Source organism: Homo sapiens, chromosome 12 (genome assembly GCF_000001405.40).
Source record: "Homo sapiens chromosome 12, GRCh38.p14 Primary Assembly".
NCBI lineage: Eukaryota > Metazoa > Chordata > Mammalia > Primates > Hominidae > Homo > Homo sapiens.
Genome location: NC_000012.12, coordinates 111,956,064 through 111,980,489, shown reverse-complemented (window position 1 = coordinate 111,980,489; position 24,426 = coordinate 111,956,064). Strand labels below are relative to the sequence as shown.

The window sequence follows — 24,426 nt, the reverse complement described above, 5'->3', positions numbered from 1 at the left end:
CCACCATTATAGTATCATCCAGAATAGTTTCACGGTCCTAAAATTTTTTATTCATATATTCATCTTTCGCACACTCTTCCTTTCCTTGGCAACTCATTGATATTTTTATGGTTTCTATAGTTTTGCCTTTTTAGAATGTCATATAATGGGAATCATACAGTATATAATCTTGTCAGATTGACTTCTTTTCACTTAGCAATATGTATTTAAGGTTCTTCCAGGTCTTTTAGTGTCTTAATAGCTCATTTCTTTTTATTTGTTGTATGGGTTTATCACAGTTTTTTAAAATTCTTTCATCATTATAGGACATCTTGGTTGCTTCTAGTTTGGGGCAATTATAAATAATGCTTCTATAAACATTAGTATGCAGGTTTTTGTGTGGACATAAGTTTTCAGTTCAACTGAGGAAATAACTAGGAGGATGATTGCTGGATTATATAGTAAGCCTATGTTTGGCTTTGTAAGAAATTGCCAGACTGTCTTCCAAAGTGGCTGTACCCGCTTTCATTCCCACCAGCAATAAATGAGAGTTTCTACTGCTTGGCATCCTCAACAGCACTTGGTTTCAGTGTTTTGGATTTTTGCCATTCTAGTAGGTATGTATTGGTGTCTTGTTGTAATTTTCAGCTCTCTAATGACATATAATGTTGAACATTTTTTTATATGCTCATTTGCTACCTGTCTTCTTTGGTGACATATCCAAATATTTTGTTTTCTTATTGTTGAGTTTATGAGTTATTTGTGTATTGTGGATACAGTTCCTCAGTCAATGTATTTTGGAAATGTTTTCTTCCAGTCTGTGGCTTGTCTCTTCATTCTTTTAACAGAGTCTTCTGCAGAACAGATTTCAAAATTTTTTTGAATGAGGCAAAATTTATGTAACAGCTTTTTAAGTGAACAATTGAGCAGCATTTAGCATATTCACAGTGTTGTTCAACCACCAGCTTTATGTAGTTCCAAAACATTTTCAATACACTAAAAGGAAACCCTGTACCCATTAAGAGATTACTCTTCATCCCCCACCAGTCTGCTTTCTGTTTTCCTTCTGTTTCTATATTCTAGGTATTTACTATAAATGGAATCATACGATATGTGTAACATTTTGTGTCTGGCTTCTTTCACTTAGCACAATGTTTTGAAGTTTCATCCACATTGTAGGATATATCAGTACTTCATTCCCTTGTATAAATAATATTCTATTGTGTATATATATATATAATATGTATACACAATTTATTCATCCATTCATAAACGTGAGGGTTGTTTTCACCTTTTGGCTAGTGTAAATAGTGCTTCTATGAACATGTGTACATGTATTCATTTGAATACCTATTTTCCAATGAAGTTCCACTCATCCATTTTTTCTTTCATGGATCATGGATCTAGGTGACCCAAGGTCATCTAGATTTTCTCCTATGTTATCTTCTAGACATTTTATAGAACTTTTGTGTTTTACATTTAGATCTGTGATCCATCTTGAGTTAAGTTTTGTGACAGGTATAAGGTCTTATTTTTGCATATGGATGTCTATAAGTCTAACACTTTTTGGTGAAAAGACTACACTTTTTCCAGTGAATTGCTTTTGATCCTTTATCAAAGATGAGTTGACTATATTAGTGTCTGCATGGTGTCTTAGTTCAGGCAGCTATAACAAATTACCATACAATGTGTGACTTAAACAACAGGCATTTATTTCTTACAGTTCTGGAGGCTGGAAGGTCCAAGATTAAGATAATCAGCAGATCTGGTGTCTGGTAAGAGCCCACTTCCTGGTTTGCAGATGGCTATTTTCTTGTTGTATCCAAACATAGTGGAGACAAGAGACAGAGAGCAAGCCCTCTCATGTCTTTTTATAAGGGCACTAATCTCATTTGTGAAGCCTCCACCCTTAGGAGCTAATTGCCTCCCAAAGGCCCCACCTTCTAAATGCCTCACCTTTGGGGTTAGGATTTCAACATATGAATTTTGAGGGACACAAACATTCAGTCCATAACATGTGGTATATCTCTGTACATCCTCTTTATCTGTGACTTTATATTAAAGTGAGTTTTTTGTAGACAACATATAGATGGGCCTTTTTTTTTCTTTTTTTTGAAATGAAGTCTCACTCTGTCGCCCAGAAGTGCAGTGCTGTGATCTTGGCTCACTGCAACCTCCGCCTCCCAGGTTCAAGCGATTCTCCTGCCTCAGCCTCCTGAGTAGCTGGGATTACAGGCATGCACCACCATGCCTGGCTAACTTTTTGTATTTTTAGTAGAGACAGGGTTTTACCATGTTGGTCAGGCTGGTCTCGAACTCCTGACCTCGTGATCTGCCCACCTCGGCCTCCCAAAGTGCTGGGATTACAGGCGTGAGCCACCGCGCTAGCTGGGCCTTTTTTTTTTTTTTAATCTACTCTAACAGTCACTATGTTTTTATGGGTTTATTTAGATCATATTGAAAGCAATTATTGATATAGTTGGATTAATATCTGTTTCCTATTTGTTGTATCTGTTCTTTATCTTCCTCTTTTTTTCTTTTTCTGGTTTTGAGCATTTTAAAAATTATTCTGTCTTCTCTCTTTTCTTAGCATATCAATTATACTTAATTTTTAAGTATAGTTTTTAGTTACTCCCCAAGAGTTTGTCTTACACATTTACTAATCTAAGTTTACTTTCAAATAATACTATATTGTTTCATGGGTAGTGCAGGTACCTTGTAACAGAGTATTCCTAGTTGTTCTTTCCTGTCTCTTATAATATTGCTGTTGTTTATTTTACTTACCCTTATGATATAATCACTCAATACATTTTTTCTATTATTACTATTATGTCAGCTAAGAAAAATGAAATATTTTATTTGAGCTTTATTTATTCCTTCTCTGATTTTTTTTCTTTATGTAGATCCGAATTTACTGACATACACAATTTTCATTCTTTCTGAAGAACTTCTTTAACTTTTCTAGGAAAATAGGTCTACTTGGTGATAGTTTTTGTTTGTCTGAATTTCTCCTTCACTTATTTTATTAGGGTGAAATTCACATAACATAAAACTAACCGTTTTAAAGTGTACAATTCAGTGGCATTTAGCACATTAACAATGTGCAACTGTCTCTCCTTCATTTTTATAGAATAATTTTACTGGATACTGGAAACAGAATTCTAGGTTAGTGGTTCTTTCTTTCAACAGTTTAAATATTTCACTGTACTTTCTTCTTGTTTATGTAGTTTGACAAGAAGTACAGTATAATTCTTATCCCTGTTTCTCTAAAAAAAGTGGTTTTAAAACTGGTTTCTTTCTAGATTTTTCTCTTTGTCTTTGGTTTTCTGCAGTTTGAATATGATATTTCTAGGTGCAGATTTTTTGGTTTTTATCTTGCTTGATGTTCTGTAAGCTTCCTGCATATGTGATTTGGTGTCTGTCATTAATTTTGAAAAATCCTGAGTCATTATTACTTCAGATATTTCTTATGTTTCTTTTGCTCTTTCTTCTCCCTCTGGTAATTCCATTATACCTATGTTACACCTTTTATAACTGTTCCACTGTTGTTCTGTTCCTTTTGACATTCTGTTCCTAATTCTTTTTTTCTTTGCATTTTATTTTGGGAAGTTTCTATTTACATATTATAAAGCTTACTGATGATTACATTCATGGCTGTATTCAGTTAATTGATGTGCCCTTTCTTTATGTCTATTACAGTATTTTTGACGTTTAATGTTTCCTTTTGATTCTTTTTAAGAGTTTCCATTTTTACATTAACTATCTGTTCTTACATGTTGTCTGTTTTTTCCATCAGAGCCCTTAACATATTAATTGTTATTGTTTTAGATTCCCTATCTAATAATTTCAAAATCTGATTCATAGCTGAAACTGGTCTAATGCTTGTCTTGTCAGACTGTGTTTGTTTTTCTTGCCTTTACGTGCCCTGTAATTTTTTGTTGAAAGTTGTGAGGTATTAGGTAATAGGAACTGAGGTAATTAGATTTTTAATGTAAGGTTTTATGTTTTGTTTTGTTTTGCTTTGTTTTGTTTAAGACAATTTTGCTCTTGTTGCCCAGGCTAGAGTGCAGTGGCGCAATCTCGGCTCACTGCAACCTCCGCCTTCCGGTTTCAAGCGATTCTCCTGCCTCAGGTTTTATGTTTATATGACCAGGAGCTGGGCTGTATTTAATGTATGCTATAGCTTTTGGTGCCAGAGGCCTCAGTTTCCTACAATTTACTGGGTTCCCTCCCTTACCCCATTGTCTGTGGGTTTCTCGGGCAGATTACAAGGTCAGGAGTTCGAGACCATCCTGACCAACATGGTGAAACCCTATCTCTACTAAAAGTACAAAATTAGCTGGGCATTGTGGTGTGCGCCTGTAATCCCAGCTACTCAGGAGGCTGAGACAGGAGAATCCCTTGAACCCAGGAGGCGGAGGTTGCAGTGAGCCAAGATCGCACCACTGCACTCCAGCACTCCAGCCTAGGTGACAGAGCAAGACTCCATCTCAAAAACAAAAACAAAAACAAAACAAAACAAAAAAACTTCTTAAATGGAGTTGATGGTTTGAACCTCTCTCAGTTATAATTACACTGAAGCCCCTTTGACGTGATGGTAAGGTGTTGGAGAGGGGAAGCATTCTATAATCTTATAATTAAATCTTAAGCATTTATTTTTGTGGGCCTGAGCTCTTGGGCTGTGACCTTCAGAACTTTTTCTCAGTGTTTTTTTTTTAAAGTATCCCTTTACATCAGACAAGAAGGCTAGAGGGGCCGAAGTTGACTAATTGTCCTTCCCCCATGTCAGATAAGGCTCTGATGAAGTAGTTTCTCTGGAAGGCAAGTCTATTTGGCTTTTTTCTTGCTATAAGGATAGGAGTGGTGACTTCTAAGCTCTTTGCTCATTGGAACTGAAACCAGAAGTCCCTAACATGGTATTTTGATTATTTTAGCTGTAAACCGTTTCTTGAAATTAGGCAGTATTAGCTCTCCAATTGTGTTCTTCTTATCAGAGTTGATTTGGCTCTTCTATGTTCTTTACCTTTTTCATATGAATTCTAGAATATGCTTGTTAGCCAGGGGCTGTGGCTCATGCCTGTAATCCCAGTACTTTGGGAGGCTGAGGCAGGAGGACTGCTTGAGCCCACGAGTTCAAGATCAGACTGAATAACCTAGGGAGACCCTGTCTCTACAAAAAAAAATGTTTGTATATATAAGCTGGGCTTGCAGGCACATGCCTGTGGTCCCAGCTACTCAAGAGGCTGACTGAGGTGGGAGGATTGCATAAGCCCAGGAGGTTGAGGCTACAGTGAACCCTGATCGTGCCACTGCACTCCAGCCTGGGTAGGAGAGCAAGACTCTGTCTCAAAAAAACAGATATCGCTTGTCAGTTCCTACAGAAATGTCTGCTGAGATTTTAATTGGGATTTTATTGAATCTGTATATCAATTTGGAGAGATGTGACATCTTTACAATATTTAGTCTTCTGACCCATGAACAAGGTATGTTTGGCAAATTGCTTAGGTCTTCTTCAGTATCTCTCTGCAATATTTTGTAGTTTTCAAGTATATAGGTCTTTCACATCCTTTGTCATATTTATCTCTAAGAATTTGATATTTTTTATGCTATTGAAATAACATTTTTTAAATTTCAAATTCCAATTGTTTATTATTATATAGAAATAAAATACATTTTTATATATTGGTCTTGTATCCTGCAACCTTGCTAAAGTCATTCATTAGTTTGAATAGCTCTTTTGTAGACATCATTGGCTTTTCTACATGGATGATCATGTTGTCTACAAATAAAAATGTTACTTTTTCCTTTCCAGTTCTGGATGCCTTTTATTTCTTTTCTTTTCTTTTTTTTTTTTTTGCGACAGAGTCTCACTCTGTCGCCTAGGCTGGAGTGCAGCGGTGCGATCTCGGCTCACTGCAGCCTTCTTCTAGGTTCAAGTGATTCTCCCACCTCAGCCTCCCTAGTAGGTGGGATTATAGGCGTGCACCACCACGCCCAGCTAATTTTTGTTTTTTTGTATTTTTAGTAGAGACAGGGTTTTACCATGTTGGCCAGGCTGGTCTCGAACTCCTGACCTCAAACCTCAAATGATCCGCCCACCCCGGCCTCCCAAAGTGTTAGAATTACAGGCATGAGCCACTGCTCCTGGCCTATTTCTTTCTTTCCCCTGCCTGATTGCAGTGACTAGAACCTCCAGTACAATGTTGAATAAAAGTGGTGAAAGTGGACAGTCCTGTCTTTTTCCTGATTTTAGAAGGAAAGCATTCCATCTTTCACCTTAAGTGTAATGCTAGCCATAGATTTTTCATAAATATCCTTAATCAAGTTGAGGAAATTTTTCTAGTTTGGTGAGAGTTTTTTTTTTTCTCTGTTTTTAAAATTGAGAATGGATGTTATATTTTTCCAAATGCTATTTTCTGTACCTATTTAGATGATCACTGGTTTTTATTTTTTTAGTATTTTAATAGGATGATTTAAATTGATTTACTTTTGAATGTTGAAACAACTCTGTAGGCCTGAGATAAACCCCACTTAGTTGTGATGTATTATTTTTATATACTGTAGGATTTTTTGTTTTTTTGTTTTTTTGGGTTTTTTTGACAAAGTCTCGCTTTTGTTGCCCAGCTTGGAGTGCAGGCCACGATCTGCAACCTCCACCTCCTGGGTTCAAGTGATTCTCCTGCCTCAGCCACCCAAGTAGCTGGGATTGCAGGTGTGTGCCACCACACCTGGCTAATTTTATATGTTGGCCAGGCTGGTCTCAAACTCCTGGACTCAAGTGATCTCCAGCCTCGGCCTCCCAAAGTGCTGGGATTACAGGTGGGAGCCACCACTTCTGGCCTTGATTTCCGCTTTGATCTTCATTATTTCCTGTATTTTTACTATGGGTTTAATTTGCTCTTTCTTAAAATGGAAGTTGATGTCATTGATTTGAGATATTTCTAATATAAGCATTTAATGCTACAAATTGCTACCTAATTACTGCTTTAGTAGCATCTCGTAAATTCTCTTTACTTACGTATATTTTTAGAGATGGAGTCTTGTTTATGTTGCCTAGGCTGGACTCACACTCCTGGACTCAAGTGATCCTGCTGAGTAGCTGGAATATGGGCATGTGCCATGGTAGCTGGTATATCCCGTAAATTCTAATATGTTGTTTTAAAATTTTTCTTCAGTTAAAATACTTTCTAATTGTTCTTTTGATCTTTAATCCATGAATTGTTTAGTTATTTAGAAGTGTATAATTTAGTTTCCAAATATTTGGGGATTTTCTGTGGATCATGCTGTTATTGATAATGTAATTTAATTTCATTGTGTGATTTGAGTGCTTTTGAAATTATTGACTTGTTTTTTAATTTATTTTTTGTTTTTTTGAGACAGAGTCCCACCCTATCGGCCAGACTGGAGTGCAGTGGTGCAATCTCAGCTCACTGCAGCCTCCACCTCCTGGGTTCAAGCAATTCTCCTGCCTCAGCCTCCTGAGTAGCTGGGACTACAGGAGCGTGCCACCACGCCTGGCTAATTTTTGTATTTTTAGTAGAGATGGGGTTTCACCATGTTGGCCAGGATGAACTCGATCTCCTGACTTCGTGATCCATCTGCCTTGGCGTGTTTTTTTTGTTTTGTTTCTTTTTGAGACAGAGTCTTGCTCTTGTCACCCAGGCTACAGTGCAATGGAGCGATCTCAGCTCACTGCAACCTCCTCCTCCTGGGTTGCAGCAATTCTACCTCAGCCTCCCGAGTAGCTGGGATTATAGGCACACGCCACCACACCTGGCTAATTTTTGTATTTTTAGTAGAGACGGGGTTTCACCATTTTGGCTAGGGTGGTCTTGAACTCCTGATCTCAAGTGATTTGCCCGTCTTGGCTTCCCAAAGTGCTGGGATTATAGGCATGAGCCACCACACCCGGCAAGACTTATTTTATGGTCTAGAATATGTTCCATCTTGGTAGATGTTCTGTATGCATTTGAAAGAAAAATTACATTCTGCTGTTGTTGGCTGGAATATTCTATAAATATCAATTCTGTCAAGTTGGTTGATAGTATTGTTTAAGTTTACTAAATCTTTGCTAATTTTCTATTTATTTTATTCATTAGTGAGTGAGGAGTATTGATATCTGACTATAATTGTGGATTTGTATATTTCTCTTTGTAGTTCTATTTTGCTTCATGTATTTTGAATCTCTTTTATTAGGTACATAAACAGTTAGTATTTTTATGACCTCTTGATTAAGTGACACCATTATTATGAAATGGCCTTCTTCATTTTGAAGTCTACATTTTCTGTTACTTATATAGCCATTTCAGCTTTCTTTTGATTACTATTGCCATGGTATATATTTTAATATCTTTATTTTTTCTCTAGCCTGCTTCAGAGGAAGAGTTGGGTTTTGTTTTTTTGTTTTTGGTGGGTTTTTTTTTTTTTTTTTTTTCACAGATAGGGTGTCATTCTGTCACCTAGGCTGGAGTGTAGTGGCATGATAATAGCTCACATGACCTCAAACTCCTGGGCTCAAGCAATCCTCCAACCTCAGCTTCCTTAAGTTGGTAGGACTACAAAAACCACCATACCTGGCTAATTAAAATATTTTTTTTGTAGAGATGGGGTTTCACTGTGTTGCCCAAGCTTGTCTCAGATTCTTGGCCTCAAGCAATCCTTACACAAGTGAGCCTTTCAAAGTGCTGGGATTACAGGCATGAGCCACTGAGCCCACCTATTTTTTTAATTTTAATTTGTTTGTGTTTTATGTATAAAGTACACTTCTTGTGGTAAATATTTAGTTAGGTCTTACTATTCCAGTCTGACAATCTTTAATACCTTACATTTAATTTGATTATATAATTACACTTGAATCTAACATTTTGCTGTTTGTTTTCTATTTGTTACATCTGTTTTTTGTTCCCTTTTCCTTCAATTCTGCCTTTTTTGGATTAATCTACTACATTTTGTTATTACATATTGTCTTTTTTGTTGGCTTATTAACTAAAATTTTTTAGTTTTTTTTTTTTTAAGTTACTGGTTGTGTTACAGGGTTTACAGCGTACATTTTAACATTGCAGTTAAACTTTAAGTGATATTATGCCACTTCACATATAGGATAAGAATCTTACAATAGTGTACTTTCATTTCTCTTCTCCCAATCTTTATGCTATTGTTGTCATGCATTTTTCTTTTCCATGTTTTAAAACCCACAATCCATTGTTATTATTTTTGCCTAAATAGTTTATTATTAATGGTATTTAAGTAGTAAGAAAAAAACATACTTTATATTTACCATTTCTGGTGCTCTTCATTTTTTTGTGTAGATCCCTGATTTCCAATCAATATTATATTTCATCTGCCTAAATGTCACCCTTTAACATTTCTTGTAGGGTGAGTCTGGTTTCATGTGTCTGAAAATGTTTTTACTGCACCTTTGTTTTTGAAAGTATATTTGCTAGGTATAGAATTCGAGGTTGACAGAAGTTCAGTATTTTAAACATGTTACTGCACTTTTTGCTTGCATTGTTTTCAACAAGAAATCTGATATTATTCTTATCGTTATTCCTCTGTACGTAACATGTTGTTTTTCTCTCTGGTTGCTTTTATGTTTTTTTCTTAAAAAATGAACCATTTGGGCTGGGCATGGTGGCTCACGCCTGTAATCCCAGCACTTTGGGAGGCCAAGGTGGGCGGGCGGATCACGAGGTCAGCAGATTGAGACCATCCTGGCTAACACGGTGAAACCCCATCTCCACTAAAAAATACAAAAAAATTAGCTGGGCATGGTGGCAGGTGCCTGTAGTCCCAGCTACTCAGGAGGCTGAGGCAGGAGAATGGTGTAAACCCAGAAGGCAGAGGTTGCAGTGAGCTGAGATCACGCCATTGCACTCCAGCCTGGGTGACAGAGCGAGACTCCGTCTCAAAAAAAAAAAAAAAAAACCCATTTGATTATGAAGTGCCTTAATGCTATTTTCTTTATATTTCTTGTTCTTTTGATTCATTGGGTTTTTGAATCTATTGGTTTATTGTCTTCATAAGATTTGGAAAGCTTGGGGCCACTATTTCTTCAAATATTTGAAGAAATATTTTTCTCATTCCTACCACCTAAACTGCTTTCAGGCCTTTTATTACCCAGGTATTAGGATTTCTCACAGTTCACCAATAGTCTTTGCAGTTTTGCATGCTTTTTTCCCCCATGTTTTCCATTTTGGAGATTTTCTTTTCTTTCTTTTTTTTTTTTTGGAGATGGAGTCATGCTCTGTCACCCAGGGTGTAGGGTAGTGGCATGGCATGATCTTGGCTTACTGCAACTTCTGCCTCCCAGGTTCAAGTGATTCTTATGCCTCAGCCTCCCAAGTATCTAGGATTACAGGCACCTCCCAAGTATCTAGGATTACAAGCCCAGCTAATTTTTCTATTTTTATAGAGATGGGGTTTCACCATGTTGGCCAGGCTGGTCTTGAACTCCTGACCTCAAGTGATCTGCCTGCCCTGGCCTCCCAAAGTGCTAGGATTACAGGCATGAGCCACCACATCCAGCCTACCATTTGGATATTTTCTATTGCTACACTTTGAAGTTCATTAATTTTTCTTCTGCAATGTCTTATCTGTCCTTAATCTCATTTAGAGATTTAAAAAAAATCTCAGGCCAGGCGCAGTGGCTCACACCTGTAATCCCCGCACTTTGAGAGGCTGAGGTGGGTGGATCACTTGAGGTCAGCAGTTTGAGACCAGCCTAGCCAACATGGAGAAACCCCGTCTCTACTAAAATACAAAAAAATTTAGCCGGGCGCAGTGGCGGGCACTTGTAGTCCCAGCTACTCGGGAGGCTGAGGCAGGAGAATGGCGTGAACCCGGGAGGCGGAGCTTGCAGTGAGCCAAGATAGCACCATTGCAGTCCCGCCTGGGCGAAAGAGCGAGACTCCATTTCAAAAAAAAAACAACAGAAAAATTAGCCGGGTATGATGGTGCACACCTGTGGTGTGCCCAGGTAGTCCCACCTATTCGGGAGGCTGAGGCAGGAGAATCACTGGAACCCAGGAGACGGAGATGGTTGTGAGCCAAGATCGCTCCACTGCGCTCCAGCCTGGGCAACAGAGTGTATCTCAAAAAAAAAAAATAAATAAACAAAAAAACTCATCCATTATAGTTGCACTGTAGTTTTTGCCTCTAGCAGTTTAATGTAGATTTTTTTTTTTTTTTTTTGAGATGGAGCGTCGCTCTTGTTGCCCAGCCTGGAGTGCAATGGTGCAATCTTAGCTCACCACAACCTCCACCTCCCAGGTTCAAACGATTCTCCTGCCTCAGCCTCCCGAGTAGCTGGGATTACAGGCATGCACCACCGTGCCCGGCTAATTTTATATTTTTAGTAGAGACGGGATTTCTCCACGTTGGTCAGGCTGGTCTTGAGCTCCCGACCCCAGGTGATCCACCCGCCGTGGCCTCCCAAAGTGCTGGGATTACAGGCGTGAGCCACCGCGCCTGGCCATTTTCTTTTTTTTCTTTTCTTTTCTTTTTTTTTTTTTTTTTTTTTGAGATAGAGTCTCGCTCTGTTGCCCAGGTTGGAGTGCAGTGACACGACGTGGGCTCACTGCAACCTCCGCCTCCCGAGTTGAAGCGATTCTCCTGTCTCAGTCTCCTGAGTAGCTGCGATTACAGGTGCCCGCCACCACCCCCGGCTAATTTTTGAATTTTTAGTAGAGACGGGGTTTCACCATATTGGTCAGGCTAGTCTAGAACTCCTGACCTCAGGTGATCCACCTGCCTCAGCCTCCCAAAGCTGGGATTACAGGCATGAGCCATTGCACTTGGCCTAATATAGATGTTTTTAAAAAATATTTCTCCAATGTCTCAACTTACTGAAAAGATAGAATGTAGTTATGATGACTATTTTATTGTCCTTTACTTCTAGTTCTAATATCTGTTTCAGTCCTGGGTAGGTTTCAGTTGATTTAGTATTCTCCTTAGTATAGGTCATGTTTTCCTTTTTCTTTGTATGACTGGTAATCTTCTACTGAATGCCAGACATTTCAAATTTTATCTTCTTGGGTGCTAGATATTTCTGTATTACCATAACTATTCTTGAATTGTATTCTTGGATGCAGTTAAATTACTTGGAAATAGTTTGAATCATTCAGGTCTTGCTTTTATAATTTGTTAGGTGGGTATGGAATGATGCTCATTCTCAGGATAATTATTTCTCACTAATGAGGCAAGACCTTCCTGAGTACTCTACCCCATATACCTTGTTGAATTATCAGTTTTTCTAGTCTTGGTGGTGAGAACAGGCACTATTGTTGGCACCATGTGGACTCTAGATACTGTTCTATCTAATCTTTTCAATGGTTCTTTCTTCAGCTTTGAGACGTTTATTTAGACACATGCGCCAGTCAGTAGATCTTGCAAATCCTCTGCAAATCTATGAGGTTCTCTGTGAAGCCTTTTGTTTGTTTGTTTGTTTTTCTTCAGCACCCTTTCCAATGAATTCTAGCTACCTTGGTCTCCTTGGACTCTCAGTTCTGTCTCCTCAATGCAGGGAGTTCACAAGGCCTCCCTCAGTTTCCATTTCCTGTGCTGTGGCATAAAAACTTTTTCTAGGAGGTAAGATAGGGCAGTTAAAGAGTTCACTTTATTCATTTCTCTTCTCCCTGAGATTATTGCCCTTTGTTGTCTGATGTCTGGTGTCTTGAAAACCATTGTTTCAGATGTTTTATCTAATTTTCGTTTGCTTGCTAGGAGAGTAAATACAGTTCTGTCACTCCATCTTGGCCAGAAGTGGAAGTCCCAGTTTGTTTTTTTAAAGTGTATTTTTTTCCCCACCTATGTAGGGATCATTAGGGCTTGTATCATTGTGTCATTACTGTGATATCAAGTGTTTATTATTATAGTTGTTAGGTGCAAATTTTATACTAAAACTCAGGGACAGATAATATGCTAAAAATATTTCAACTTTTGGATATTCAGGGAAATTGGGAGGCCTCAGAGATCATATTATTTAAATAACTTATAATATATATCTAAATTATTCTTTAGAAAAAAAAATCCAGGTGCTTCCAGACTTAAGTAAAAGTTTCAGTATTCCTTATTGTCTTTTCTTCTGATAAGCCTGCCAGGTTGGAGGAAAAAAATACACTATTTTACTTGGCTCCCTTCTTTAAATTGAGGTCCACAATTCAAATGAAATAGTGCAACTTGTCCATTTATTCAACTTTAGGAGAGCAATGGTAAAGAAAGTACTACAGCTAGACTTAGGAGACCTAGATTCTCATTTTAGTTTTGTTATTAAGAATCTGTATGATTTCGAGGAAGTTGTTTTTATATTTATCAATTTTTTTTCTAAAAATGAAAATCATTGCCATTCTAATCTACATCAGATTTAAAGTGTTAAATAAGATGTCTGCACACATGTTTTGTAAAATTAAAGGTTCTCTATGAGTGTATGGTGTTTTTATGGATTTCTCTGAGCAAGGGAATCAAGATCATTAAACTAAGCACTATACCAATAGTGATTGTTTCTTCCTAGTCTTGAAAGTGGATCCAGTTTATTGCATAGTTTGGAAAGGCTTCAGACAGTTTCCTATGGAGAGATCTGTTTGATTAGGAATAAGCTTCTGTCTGACAAGATAGGCTGACCAAGCTGGTCTGTTAAGGCATTAGAGCCTCTTTCTCCCAAAATTGGTTTGGAAATGTCCTAGATCTTTTGACTAGATGTAGGAAACTTAGAGCTGGTCATGGAGGAGAAATGGCTCAGTACAGCTGGAGCACTCTTAGTTTGCAAGCCCAAGAGAGGCTATGAGAAGAGAAAATATACTCCAACTGTATAAGCCATCAGAAGAGAAATAGTAAGAAGTGCCCTGAACAACAGGTTAGGAGATCTGGGTCAGTACCAAACCATAGCCCCATTTTATGTGGTCTAACACCTCTTTTACGAGTTATGATGCTAAGAAACTGGCAATTCTCTTTTAAAAACTGAGTAGTTCCAAATCCTGAAACTATTCCAAGTTTGGCTTAAATATAATTTTCCACAAACCTTAGGAAAACATTTTCTTGTCTAGACTGTATTAATTTTCTGATTTTCCTATTACTGTTGACCTATCTAAGTTGACAGTACACTCAGGCATCAGTTTTACAGAATCAGAATTTCCTATAGTAGTTTTTAAGTAGTTGACGAGATCACCTTAAGTCTGGTACCACAGCTAAATTTCTTCTTTGTTTTTTTTTGAGATGGAGTCTTGCTCTGTTGCCCAGGCTGGAGTGCAGTGGTGCAATCTCTGCTCACTGCAACCTCTGCCTTCTAGGTTCAAGCAATTCTTCTGCCTCAGCCTCCCAAGTAGCTGGGATTGCAGGTGCACACCATCACACCTGGCTAATTTTTGTACTTTTAGTGGAGATAGGGTTTTGCCACGTTGGCCAGACTGGTCTCAAACTCCTGACCTCAGGTGATCAGCCGCCTCAGCCTCCCAAAGTGCTGGGATTACAGGCATGAGCCACCGTGCCTGGCCTCAAATTTCTTCTTAAACAAATGAGGATGAGAATGTTTTAAATGGATCTTTATCTTAATTTTTTGTTGTTGTTTATTTATTTATTTATTGAGACAAAGTCTCACTCCTTCACCCAGGCTGGAGTGCAGTGGCATGATCTCAGCTCATTGCAACCTCCGCCTCCCAAGTTCAAGTGAGTTTCCTGCCTCAGCCTCCAGAGTACCTGGGACTACAGGCATACGCCACCATGCCTGGCTAAGGCTAATTTTTGTATTTTTTTTTTTAGGGGAGACGGGGTTTCGCCATGTTTGCCAGGCTGGTCCTGAATGCCTGACCTCAAGTGATTCACCGCTTGGGCCTCCCAAAGTGCTGGGATTACAGGTGTGAGCCACTGCACCTGGCCTCCTTAAATGTATCTTTATGGCCTAATTTTCACCTTTGCACCCAGTTGGTAAGAACTGTTTAAAAATACTTCCTATTTCCTTCCACTTTAGAGCTGGGAATTAGATGTTGTAATTGCTTATTTTGTTATTCCAATGAAAAACCCAAACCTGACTCTTTCCTCTCTTTCCATGTTAATGGAGCATTCTGGTAGCTAGTTTAATACTCTTTAAAGATCTGGAGACCAAGACAGAAATATGTACTCTCCTTATAAATGGATGATTTTTATTTTTTCTGTATTAAAAAATTTGGTGTGTTGTTCACTATGTAAGTTAAAATATCAAAGAGGGATATACAACTGAAAAGTAAAAGTTCACCTTTCTTTCCTTTCTCCTACTTCTATAATTTGATCAGTTTAGATAAAATATCTCTGCTTTTCAAAATTACTCTCTAGCTGGCTCTTGAGGAAAAAAAAATGGGGGTAGGAGGAGCTGGGGCCTTCCCTTATTTATACAAGCCGATGAAGAGGTCCTAGACTTTTGGAGAGTCACAGTAAAGAAAGAAAACCAGTCACCTGATTTAAACAAACAATATATTCAGGTTTCTGAATCTAGATTTCTAGTTCCAGTCTTTGAACAGAAAAAACCTTTTAGAAAAACTCTTTGCTCTTTACCTGGGCATGGTGGCTTCATGCCTGTAATCTCAGCACTTTGAGAGGCTGAGGTGGGAGGATCGCTTGAGTCCAGGAGTTTGAGACCAGCCTGGGTGACATATTGAGAGCCCTGTCTCTACAAAAAAATTTTTTTTAAATTAGCTGGGCATGGTGGTGCGCACCTGTGGTCCCAGCTACTCAGGAGGCTGAAGTGAGAGGATCACTTGCACCTAGGAGGTCGCGGCTACAGTGAGTTGCGATCACACTACTACACTTCAGCCTGGGTAACATAGCAAGACCCTGCCTCAAAAGAAAAGAAAATAAATCTTTGTCCTTATTGTAAACTGTTGCCACACTTTGGAATACGGTTAGCAGTTATTAATTAATCATTTTCACTGGAGCAGACTTAAGAGAATGGGCTTAAGAAGTAGCAGGAAAAAAAATTTGGTTCGTGTAGAAACCTTGAGGATTGTTGATGAGAATAAATTCTTAGAGTCACTTTGGTGTTTCCTTATCACAAATGTTCATAATGTCATCTGTGTGAAACTGATTTACTTTTTTTTTTTTTTTTTGAGATGGAGTCTCTGTCTGTTGCCAGGCTGGAGTGCATTGGTGTGATCTCAGCTCACTGCAACCTCCATCTCCCGGGTTCAAGTGATTCTCCTGCCTCAGCCTCCCAAGTAGCTGGGACTACAGGCATGCGCCACTACCAAGCCCAGCTAATTTTTGTATTGTTAGTAGAGATGGGGTTTCACCATGTTGGCCAGGATGGTCTTGATCTCTTGACCTTGTGATCCGCCCACCTCAGCCTCCCAAAGTGCTGGGATTACAGGCATGAGCCACCGCACCCAGCCTTTACTTTTTTTTTTTTTTTTTAACCTGAAATTCAGGTGATATAGTAGAGAAGTAGTTCAGTGGGTCCCAGACTTCAGAATTTTAGAAATGAGAAAAACTAAAAAGAAAAAAAAAACGGGAGTTGTTTTAATGTTGCCGAGTTTATATTTTGCTAACTGAAGAACATTTAAAAACAACTACCATAACTACCATCTACTTTCATAAAAGAAATAACATTTGAGACAAAAAACTTGGCAAAAAAATAATATCAGAAGAATTGGTGGTTCTTTAAATTAGTAAATTTAATCATATGAAAAACTAATTTCATTGCCTCTATTTTCCTCAGCATTTCTTTTTTTAAAAAAAATACTTTAAGTTCTGGCGTATGTGTGCAGGACGTGCAGGTTTGTTACATAGGTATACATGTGCCATGGTGGTTTGCTGCACCCATCTACCCATCATCTCCATTAGGTATTTCTCCTAATGCTATCCCTCCCCTAGCCCCCAACCCCCTGACAGGCCCTGGTGTGTGATGTTCCCCTCCCTGTGTCCATGTGTTCTCATTGTCCCACTTATGAGTGAGAACATGTGGTGTTTGGTTTTCTGTTCTTGTGTTAGTTGCTGGGAATGATGGTTTCCAGCTTCATCCATGTCCCTGCAAAGGACATAAACTCATCCCTTTTTATAGCTGCATAGTGTTCCATAGTGTATATGAGCCACATTTTCTTTATCCAGTCTATCATTGACGGGCATTTGGGTTGGTTCCAAGGCTTTGCTATTGTGAATAGTGCCACAATAAACATACATGGGCATATGTCTTTATAGTAGAATGATTTCTAATCCTTTGGGTATATACCCAGTAATGGGATTGCTGGGTCAAATGGTATTTCTGGTTCTAGGTCCTTGAGGAATTGCCACACCGTCTTCCACAATGGTTGAACTAATTTACACTCCCACCAACAGTGTAAAAGCATTTCTATTTCTGTTCCTATTTCTCCACATCCTCTCCAGTATCTGTTGTTTCCTGACTTTTTAATGATCCCCATTCTAACTGGGGTGAGATGGTATCTCATTGTGGTTTTGATTTGCATTTCTCTAATGACCAGTGATGATGAGCTTTTTTTCATATGTTTGTTGGCTGCATAATGTCTTCTTTTGAGAAGTGTCTGTTCATATCCTTTGCCCACTTTTTGATGGAGTTGTTTTGTTCTTATAAATTTGTTTAAGTTCTTTGTAGATCGTGGATATTAGCCCTTTGTCAGATGGATAGATTGCAAAAATTTTCTCCCATTCTATAGGCTGCCTGTTCACTTTGATGATAGTTTCTTTTGCTGTGCAGAAGCTCTTTAGTTTAATTAGATCCCATTTGTCAATTTTGGCTTTTGTTGCCATTGATTTTGGTGTTTTAGTCATGATGTCTTTGCCCATGCCTATGTCCTGAATGGTATTGCCTAGGTTTTCTTCTAGGGTTTTTATGGTTTTAAGTCTTATGTTTAAGTCTTTAATCCATCTTGAGTTAATTTTTGTATAAGGTGTAAGGAACGGGTCCAGTTTCAGTTTTCTGCACATGGCTAGCCAGTTTTTCCAACGCCATTTATTAAATAGGCAATCCTTTCCCCATTGCTTGTTTTTGTCAGGTTTGTCAAAGATCAGATGGTTGTAGATGTGTGGTGTTATTTCTGAGGCCTCTGTTCTGTTCCATTGATCTATATATCTGTTTTGGTACCAGTACCATGCTGTTTTTGTTACTGTAGCTTTGTAGTATAGTTTGAAGTCAGGTGGCATGATGCCTCCAGCTTTGTTCTTTTTGTTTAGGATTGTCTTGGCTATGTGGGCCTTTTTTGGTTCCATATGAAATTTAAAGTAGTTTTTTCTAATTTTGTGAAGAAAGTCAGTGGTAGCTTGATGGGGATAGCATTGAATCTATAATTACTTTGGGCAGTATGGCCATTTTCATGATATTGATTCTTCCTATCCATGAACATGGAATGTTTTTCCATTTATTTGTGTCCTCTCTTATTTCCTTCAGCAGCAGTTTGTAGTTCTTCTTGAAGAGGTCCTTCACATCCCTTGGAAGTTGTATTCCTAGGTATTTAATTCCTTTTGTAGCAATTGTGAATGGGAGTTCACTCATGCTTTGGCTCTCTGTCTGCTGTTGGTGTATAGGAATGCTTGTGATTTTTGCACATTGATTTTGTATCCTGAGACTTTGCTTAAGTTGCTTATCAGCTTAAGGAGATTTTGGGCTGAGACAATGGGGTTTTCTAAATATACAATCATGTCATCTGCAAACAGAGACAATTAGACCTCCTCTTTTCCTATTTGAATATGCTTTATTTCTTTCTCTTGCCTGATTGCCCTGACCAGAACTTCCAATACTATGTTGAATAGGAGTGGTGAGAGAGGGCATCCTTGTCTTGTGCCAGTTTTCAAAGGGAATGCTTCCAGTTTTTGCCCATTCAGTATGATATTGGCTGTGGGTTTGTCATAAATAGCTCTTATTATTTTGAGATATGTTCCATCAATACATAGTTTATTGAGAGTTTTTAGCATGAAGGGATGTAGAATTTTGTCAAAGTCCTTTTCTGCATCTATTAATCATGTGGTGTTTGCCATTGGTTCTGTTTATGTGATGGGTTACGTTTATTGATTTGCATTTGTTGATCCAGCCTTGCATCCCAGGGATGAAGCCAACTTGATCATGGTGGATAATCTTTTTAATGTGCTGCTGGATTCAGTTTGACATATTTTGTTGAGGATTTTCGCATCGATGTTCATCAGGGATATTGTCCTGAATTTTTCTTTTTTTGTTGTGTCTCTGCCAGGTTTTTGGTATCAGGATGATGCTGGCCTCATAAAATGAGTTAGGGAGGATTCTCTCTTTTTCTGTTGTTTGAAATAGTTTCGGAAGAAATGGTACCAGCTCCCCTTTGTACCTCTGGTAGAATTTGTCTGTGAATCTGTCTGGTCCTGGACTTTTTCTGGTTGGTAGGCTATTAATTACTGCCTAAATTTCAGAACTTGTTATTGGTCTATTCAGGGATTCACCTTCTTCCTGGTTTAGTCTTGGGAAGTTGTATGTGTCCAAGAATTTATCCATTTCTTCTAGGTTTTCTAGTTTATTTGCATAGAGGTGTTTATAGTATTCTCTGATGGTAGTTTGTATTTCTGTGGGATCAGTGGTGACATCCCCTTTATCATTTTTTACTGTGTCTATTTGATTCTTCTCTTCTTCTTTGTTAGTCTGGCTAGTGGTCTATCTATTTTATTAATCTTTTCAAAAAATCAGGTCCTGGATTCATTGATTTTTTTGAAGGGTTTTTCCTGTCTCTATCTCCGTCAGTTTTGCTCTGATCTTAGTTATTTCTTGTGTTCTGCTAGCTTTTGAATTTGTTTGCTCTTGCTTCTCTAGTTCTTTTCATTGTGATATTAGGGTGTTGATTTAAATTTTTCTTGCTTCCTCCTGTGGGCATTTAGTGCTATAAATTTCCCTCTAAACACTGCTTTGGCTGTGTCCCAAAGATTCTGGTATGTTGTGTCTTTGTTCTCATTGGTTTCAAAGAACTTACGTATTGCTTCCTTAATTTCGTTATTTACCCAGTAGTCATTCAGGAGCAGGTTGTTCAGTTTCCATGTAGTTGTGTGGTTTGAGTGAGTTTCTTTTTTTTTTTTTTTTTTTTTTTTTTTGAGACGGAGTCTTGCTCTGTCGCCCAGGCTGGAGTACAGTGGTGCAATCTCGGCTCACTGCAAGCTCTGCCTCCCGGGTTCACGTCATTCTCCTGCCTCAGCCTTCCAAGTAGCTGGTACTACAGGGGCCCGCCACCACCCCCAGCTAATTTTTTTTGTATTTTTAGTAGAGATGGAGTTTTCACCATGTCAGCCAGGGTGGTCTCGATCTCCTGACCTTGTGATCTACCCGCCTCAGCCTCCCAAAGTGTTGGGATTACAGGCATGAGCCACTGTGCCCGGCCGATTCTGAGTGAGTTTCTTAATCCTGAGTTCTAATTTGATTGCACTGTTGTCTGAGAGACTATTTGTTACGATTTCCGTTCTTTTGCATTTGTGGAGGAGTGTTTTATTTCCAATTATATGGTCAATTTTAGAATAAATGCAATGTGGTGCTGAGAAGAATGTATATTCTGTTGATTTAGGGCAGAGAGTTCTGTAGATGTCTATTAGGTCCGCTTGGTCTAGAGCTGAGTTCAAGTCCTGAATATCCTTGTTAATTTTCTGTCTCGTTGATCTAATATCGACAGTGGGGTATTAAAGTCTCACATTATTGTGTGGCAGTCTAAATCTCTTTGTAGGTCCCTAAGAACTTGTTTTATGAGTCTGGGTGCTCCTGTATTGGGTGCATATATATTTAGGATAGTTAGCTCTTCTTGTTGCATTGATCCCTTTACCATTATGTAATGCCCTTCTTTATCTCTTTTGATCTTTGTTGGTTTGGTTTAAAGTCTGTTTTATCAGAGACTAGGATTGCAACCCCTGCTTTATTTTTTTTGGCTTTGCATTTGCTTGGTAAATATTCCTTCATCCCTTTATTTTGAGCCTATGTGTGTCTCTGCACGTGAGATGGGTCTCCTGAATACAGTACACCAATGGGTCTTGACTCTTTATCCAATTTGCCGGTCTGTGTCTTTTAATTGGGGCATTTAGCCCATTTGCATTTAAGGTTAATATTGTCATGTGTGAATTTGATCCTGTCATTATGATGCTAGCTGGTTATTTTACCCATTAGTTGAAGCAGTTTCTTCGTAGTGTCGATGGTCTACAATTTGGTATGTTTTTGCAGTGGCTGGTACCAGTTGTTCCTTTCCATGTTTAGTGCTTCCTTCAAGAGCTCTTGTAAGGCAGGCCTGGTGGTGACAAAATCTCTCAGAATTTGCTTGTCTGTAAAGGATTTTATTTATCCTTCACTTATGAAGCTTAATTTGGCTGGATATGAAATTCTGGGTTGAAAATTCTTTTCTTTAAGAATGTTGAATATTGGCCTCCACTCTCTTCTAGCTTGTAGGGTTTCTGCAGAGAGATCTACTGTTAGTCTGATGGGCTTCCCTTTGTGGGTAACCTGACCTTTCTCTCTGGCTGCCCTTAACATTTTTTCTTTCATTTCAACCTTGGTGAATCTGATGATTTTGTGTCTTGGGGTTGCTCTTCTCGAGGAGTATCTTTGTGGTGGTATCTGTATTTCCTGAATTTGAATGTTGGCCTGTCTTGCTAGGTTGGGGAAGTTCTCCTGGATAATATCCTGAAGAGTATTTTCCATCTTGGTTCCATTTTCCCCATCACTTTCAGGTACACCAATCAAACGTAGATTTGGTCTTTTCACGTAGTCCCATATTTCTTGGAGGCTTTGTTCATTCTTTTTCATTCTTTTTTCTCCAATCTTGTCTTCTCACTTTATTTCATTCAGTTGATCTTCAATCTCTGATATCCTTTCTTCCACTTGATTGATTTGGCTATTGATACTTGTGTATGTTTCACGAAGTTCTTGTGCTGTGTTTTTCAGCTCTATCAGGTCATTTATGTTCTTCTCTAAACTGGTTATTCTAGTTAGCAATTTGTCTAACCTTTTTTCAAGGTTCTTAGCTTCCTTGCATTGGGTTAGAATGTGCTCCTTTAACTCAGAGGAGTTTGTTATTACCCACCTTCTGAAGCCTACTTCTGTCAATTCATCAAACTCATTCTCCATCCAGTTTTGTTCCCTTGCTGGCAAGGAGTTGTGATCCTTTGGAGGAGAAGAGGTGTTTTGGTTTTTGGAATTTTCAGCCTTTTTGTGCTGGTTTCTTCCCATCTTTGTGGAATTTATCTACCTTTGGTCTTTGATGTTGGTGACCTTCGGATGGGGTCTCTGAGTGGGCCTCCTATTTTTTTTTTTTTTTTTTTTTTTTTTTTTTTAGTATTTATTGATCATTCGTGGGTGTTTCTCGGAGAGGGGGATTTGGCAGGGTCATAGGACAATAGTGGAGGGAAGGTCAGCAGATAAACTTGTGAACAAAGGTCTCTGGTTTTCCTAGGCAGAGGGCCCTGCCGCCTTCCGCAGTGTTTGTGTCCCTGGGTAGTTGAGATTAGGGAGTGGTGATGACTCTTAACGAGCATGCTGCCTTCAAGCATCTGTTTAACAAAGCACATCTTGCACCGCCCTTAATCCATTTAACCCTTAGTGGACACAGCACATGTTTCAGAGAGCACGGGGTTGGGGGTAAGGTTATAGATTAACAGCATCCCAAGGCAGAAGAATTTTTCCTAGTACAGAACAAAATGGAGTCTCCTATGTCTACTTCTTTCTACACAGACACAATAACAATCTGATCTCTCTTTCTTTTCCCCACATTTCCCCCTTTTCTATTCAACAAAACCGCCATTGTCATCATGGCCCGTTCTCAATGAGCTGTTGGGTACACCTCCCAGACGGGGTGGTGGCCGGGCAGAGGGGCTCCTCCCTTCCCAGACGGGGCTGCCAGGCAGAGGGGCCCCCCCACCTCCCAGACGGGACGGCGGCCAGGCAGAGGGGCTCCTCACTTCCCAGACGGGGCAGCCGGGCAGAGGGGCCCCCCACCTCCCGGACGGGGCGGCTGGCCGGGCGGGGGCTGGCCCCCACCTCCCAGACGGGGCGGCTGGCTGGGCGGGGGCTGCCCCCCACCTCCCGGACGGGGCGGCTGGCCAGGGGGGCGCTGCCCCCCACCTCCTGGACGGGGCGGCTGCCGGGCGTAGACGCTCCTCACTTCCCAGACGGGGTGGCTGCCGGGCGGAGGGGCTCCCCACTTCCCAGATGGGGCGGCTGCCGGGCGGAGGGGCTCCTCACTTCTCAGACAGGGCGGCCAGTCAGAGATGCTCCTCACCTCCCAGACGGGGTGGCGGCGGGGCAGAGACACTCCTCAGTTCCCAGACGGGATCATGGCCGGGCAGAGGCACTCTTCACATCTCAGATGGGGCGGCGGGGCAGAGGTGCTCCCCACATCCCAGATGATGGGCGGCCAGGCAGAGACACTCCTCACTTCCTAGACGGGATGACGGCCAGGAAGAGGCACTCCTCACTTCCCAGACTGGGCGGCCGGGCAGAGGGGCTCCTCACATCCCAGACGATGGGTGGCCAGGCAGAGACGCTCCTCACTTCCTAGACGGGGTGGTGGCCGGGAAGAGGCGCTCCTCACTTCCCGGACTGGGCGGCCAGGCAGAGGGGCTCCTCACATCACAGACGATGGGCGGCCAGGCAGAGACGCTCCTCACTTCCTATACGGGGTGGCGGCCAGGCAGAGGCTGCAATCTTGGGACTTTGGGAGGCCAAGGCAGGTGGCTGGGAGGTGGAGGTTGTAGCGATCCGAGATCACGCCACTCACTCCAGCCTGGGCAACATTGAGCACTGAGTGAGCGAGACTCCGTCTGCAATCCCAGCACTTCAGGAGGCCGAGGCTGGCAGACCACTCGCGGTCAGGAGCTGGAGACCAGCCCAGCCAACACGGCGAAACCCCGTCTCCACCAAAAAATACGAAAACCAGTCAGGTGTGGCGGCGCGCACCTGCAGTCCCAGGCACTCGGCAGGCTGAGGCAGGAGAATCAGGCAGGGAGGCTGCAGTGAGCCGAGATGGCGGCAGTATAGTCCAGCCTCGGCTCGGCATTAGAGGGAGACCGTGCAAAGGGGAGACGAGGACCATGCAAAGGGGAGAGGGAGAGGGAGGGGTCCTATTTTTTGATGTTGATGCTATTCTTCTGTTTGTTGGTTCTTAGAGCAATGTCAGGGATCAGCATTAATTTCTGAACTGGCATTTGGAAATTATTACATTAAATGGCTTTTTAATGTGCTTTCCAGGTTTAGGATGCTAAATCTTCAGGACACACGAATATTTTTGTTTTGAGCTTTCCATCTTCCACTGGGGTAGACATGGGATACAAATTAGAATGAGATTTGTTCACTTCTTATATTATAACCTTATTATGTGGCTGCAGTTATTGAGTTCCTGTTTGATTCACATAATGAAAAGAGTTTTATAGGAAACCCATAGCTGATCAGAGCAAACTGGATCAGTACAGCTGGAGCACGCTTATGCCACTTCACTGAACTGGAACAGAAGAAATCAATCATTTGCCCATAGCTAGTTTTTAATTCTGGAA

The 24,426-nt window shown here is 40.1% G+C and overlaps 1 protein-coding gene across 5 annotated transcripts in view; it reads left to right on the top strand.

The window, feature by feature from the left end:
• Window positions 1-24,426, top strand: part of TMEM116 (transmembrane protein 116) — an 81,938-nt gene that overhangs the window by 32,730 nt on the left and 24,782 nt on the right. The window contains exons 5-6 of one of the 5 annotated variants that reach the window (NM_001294314.2): window positions 1,703-1,754; window positions 14,731-14,895. The exons of the other annotated variants lie outside the window; for them this stretch is intronic. The gene's annotated coding sequence lies outside the window, so the exon portion shown is untranslated. The remainder of the gene's footprint in view (window positions 1-1,702; window positions 1,755-14,730; window positions 14,896-24,426) is intronic. 5 annotated transcript variants of the gene reach the window in all.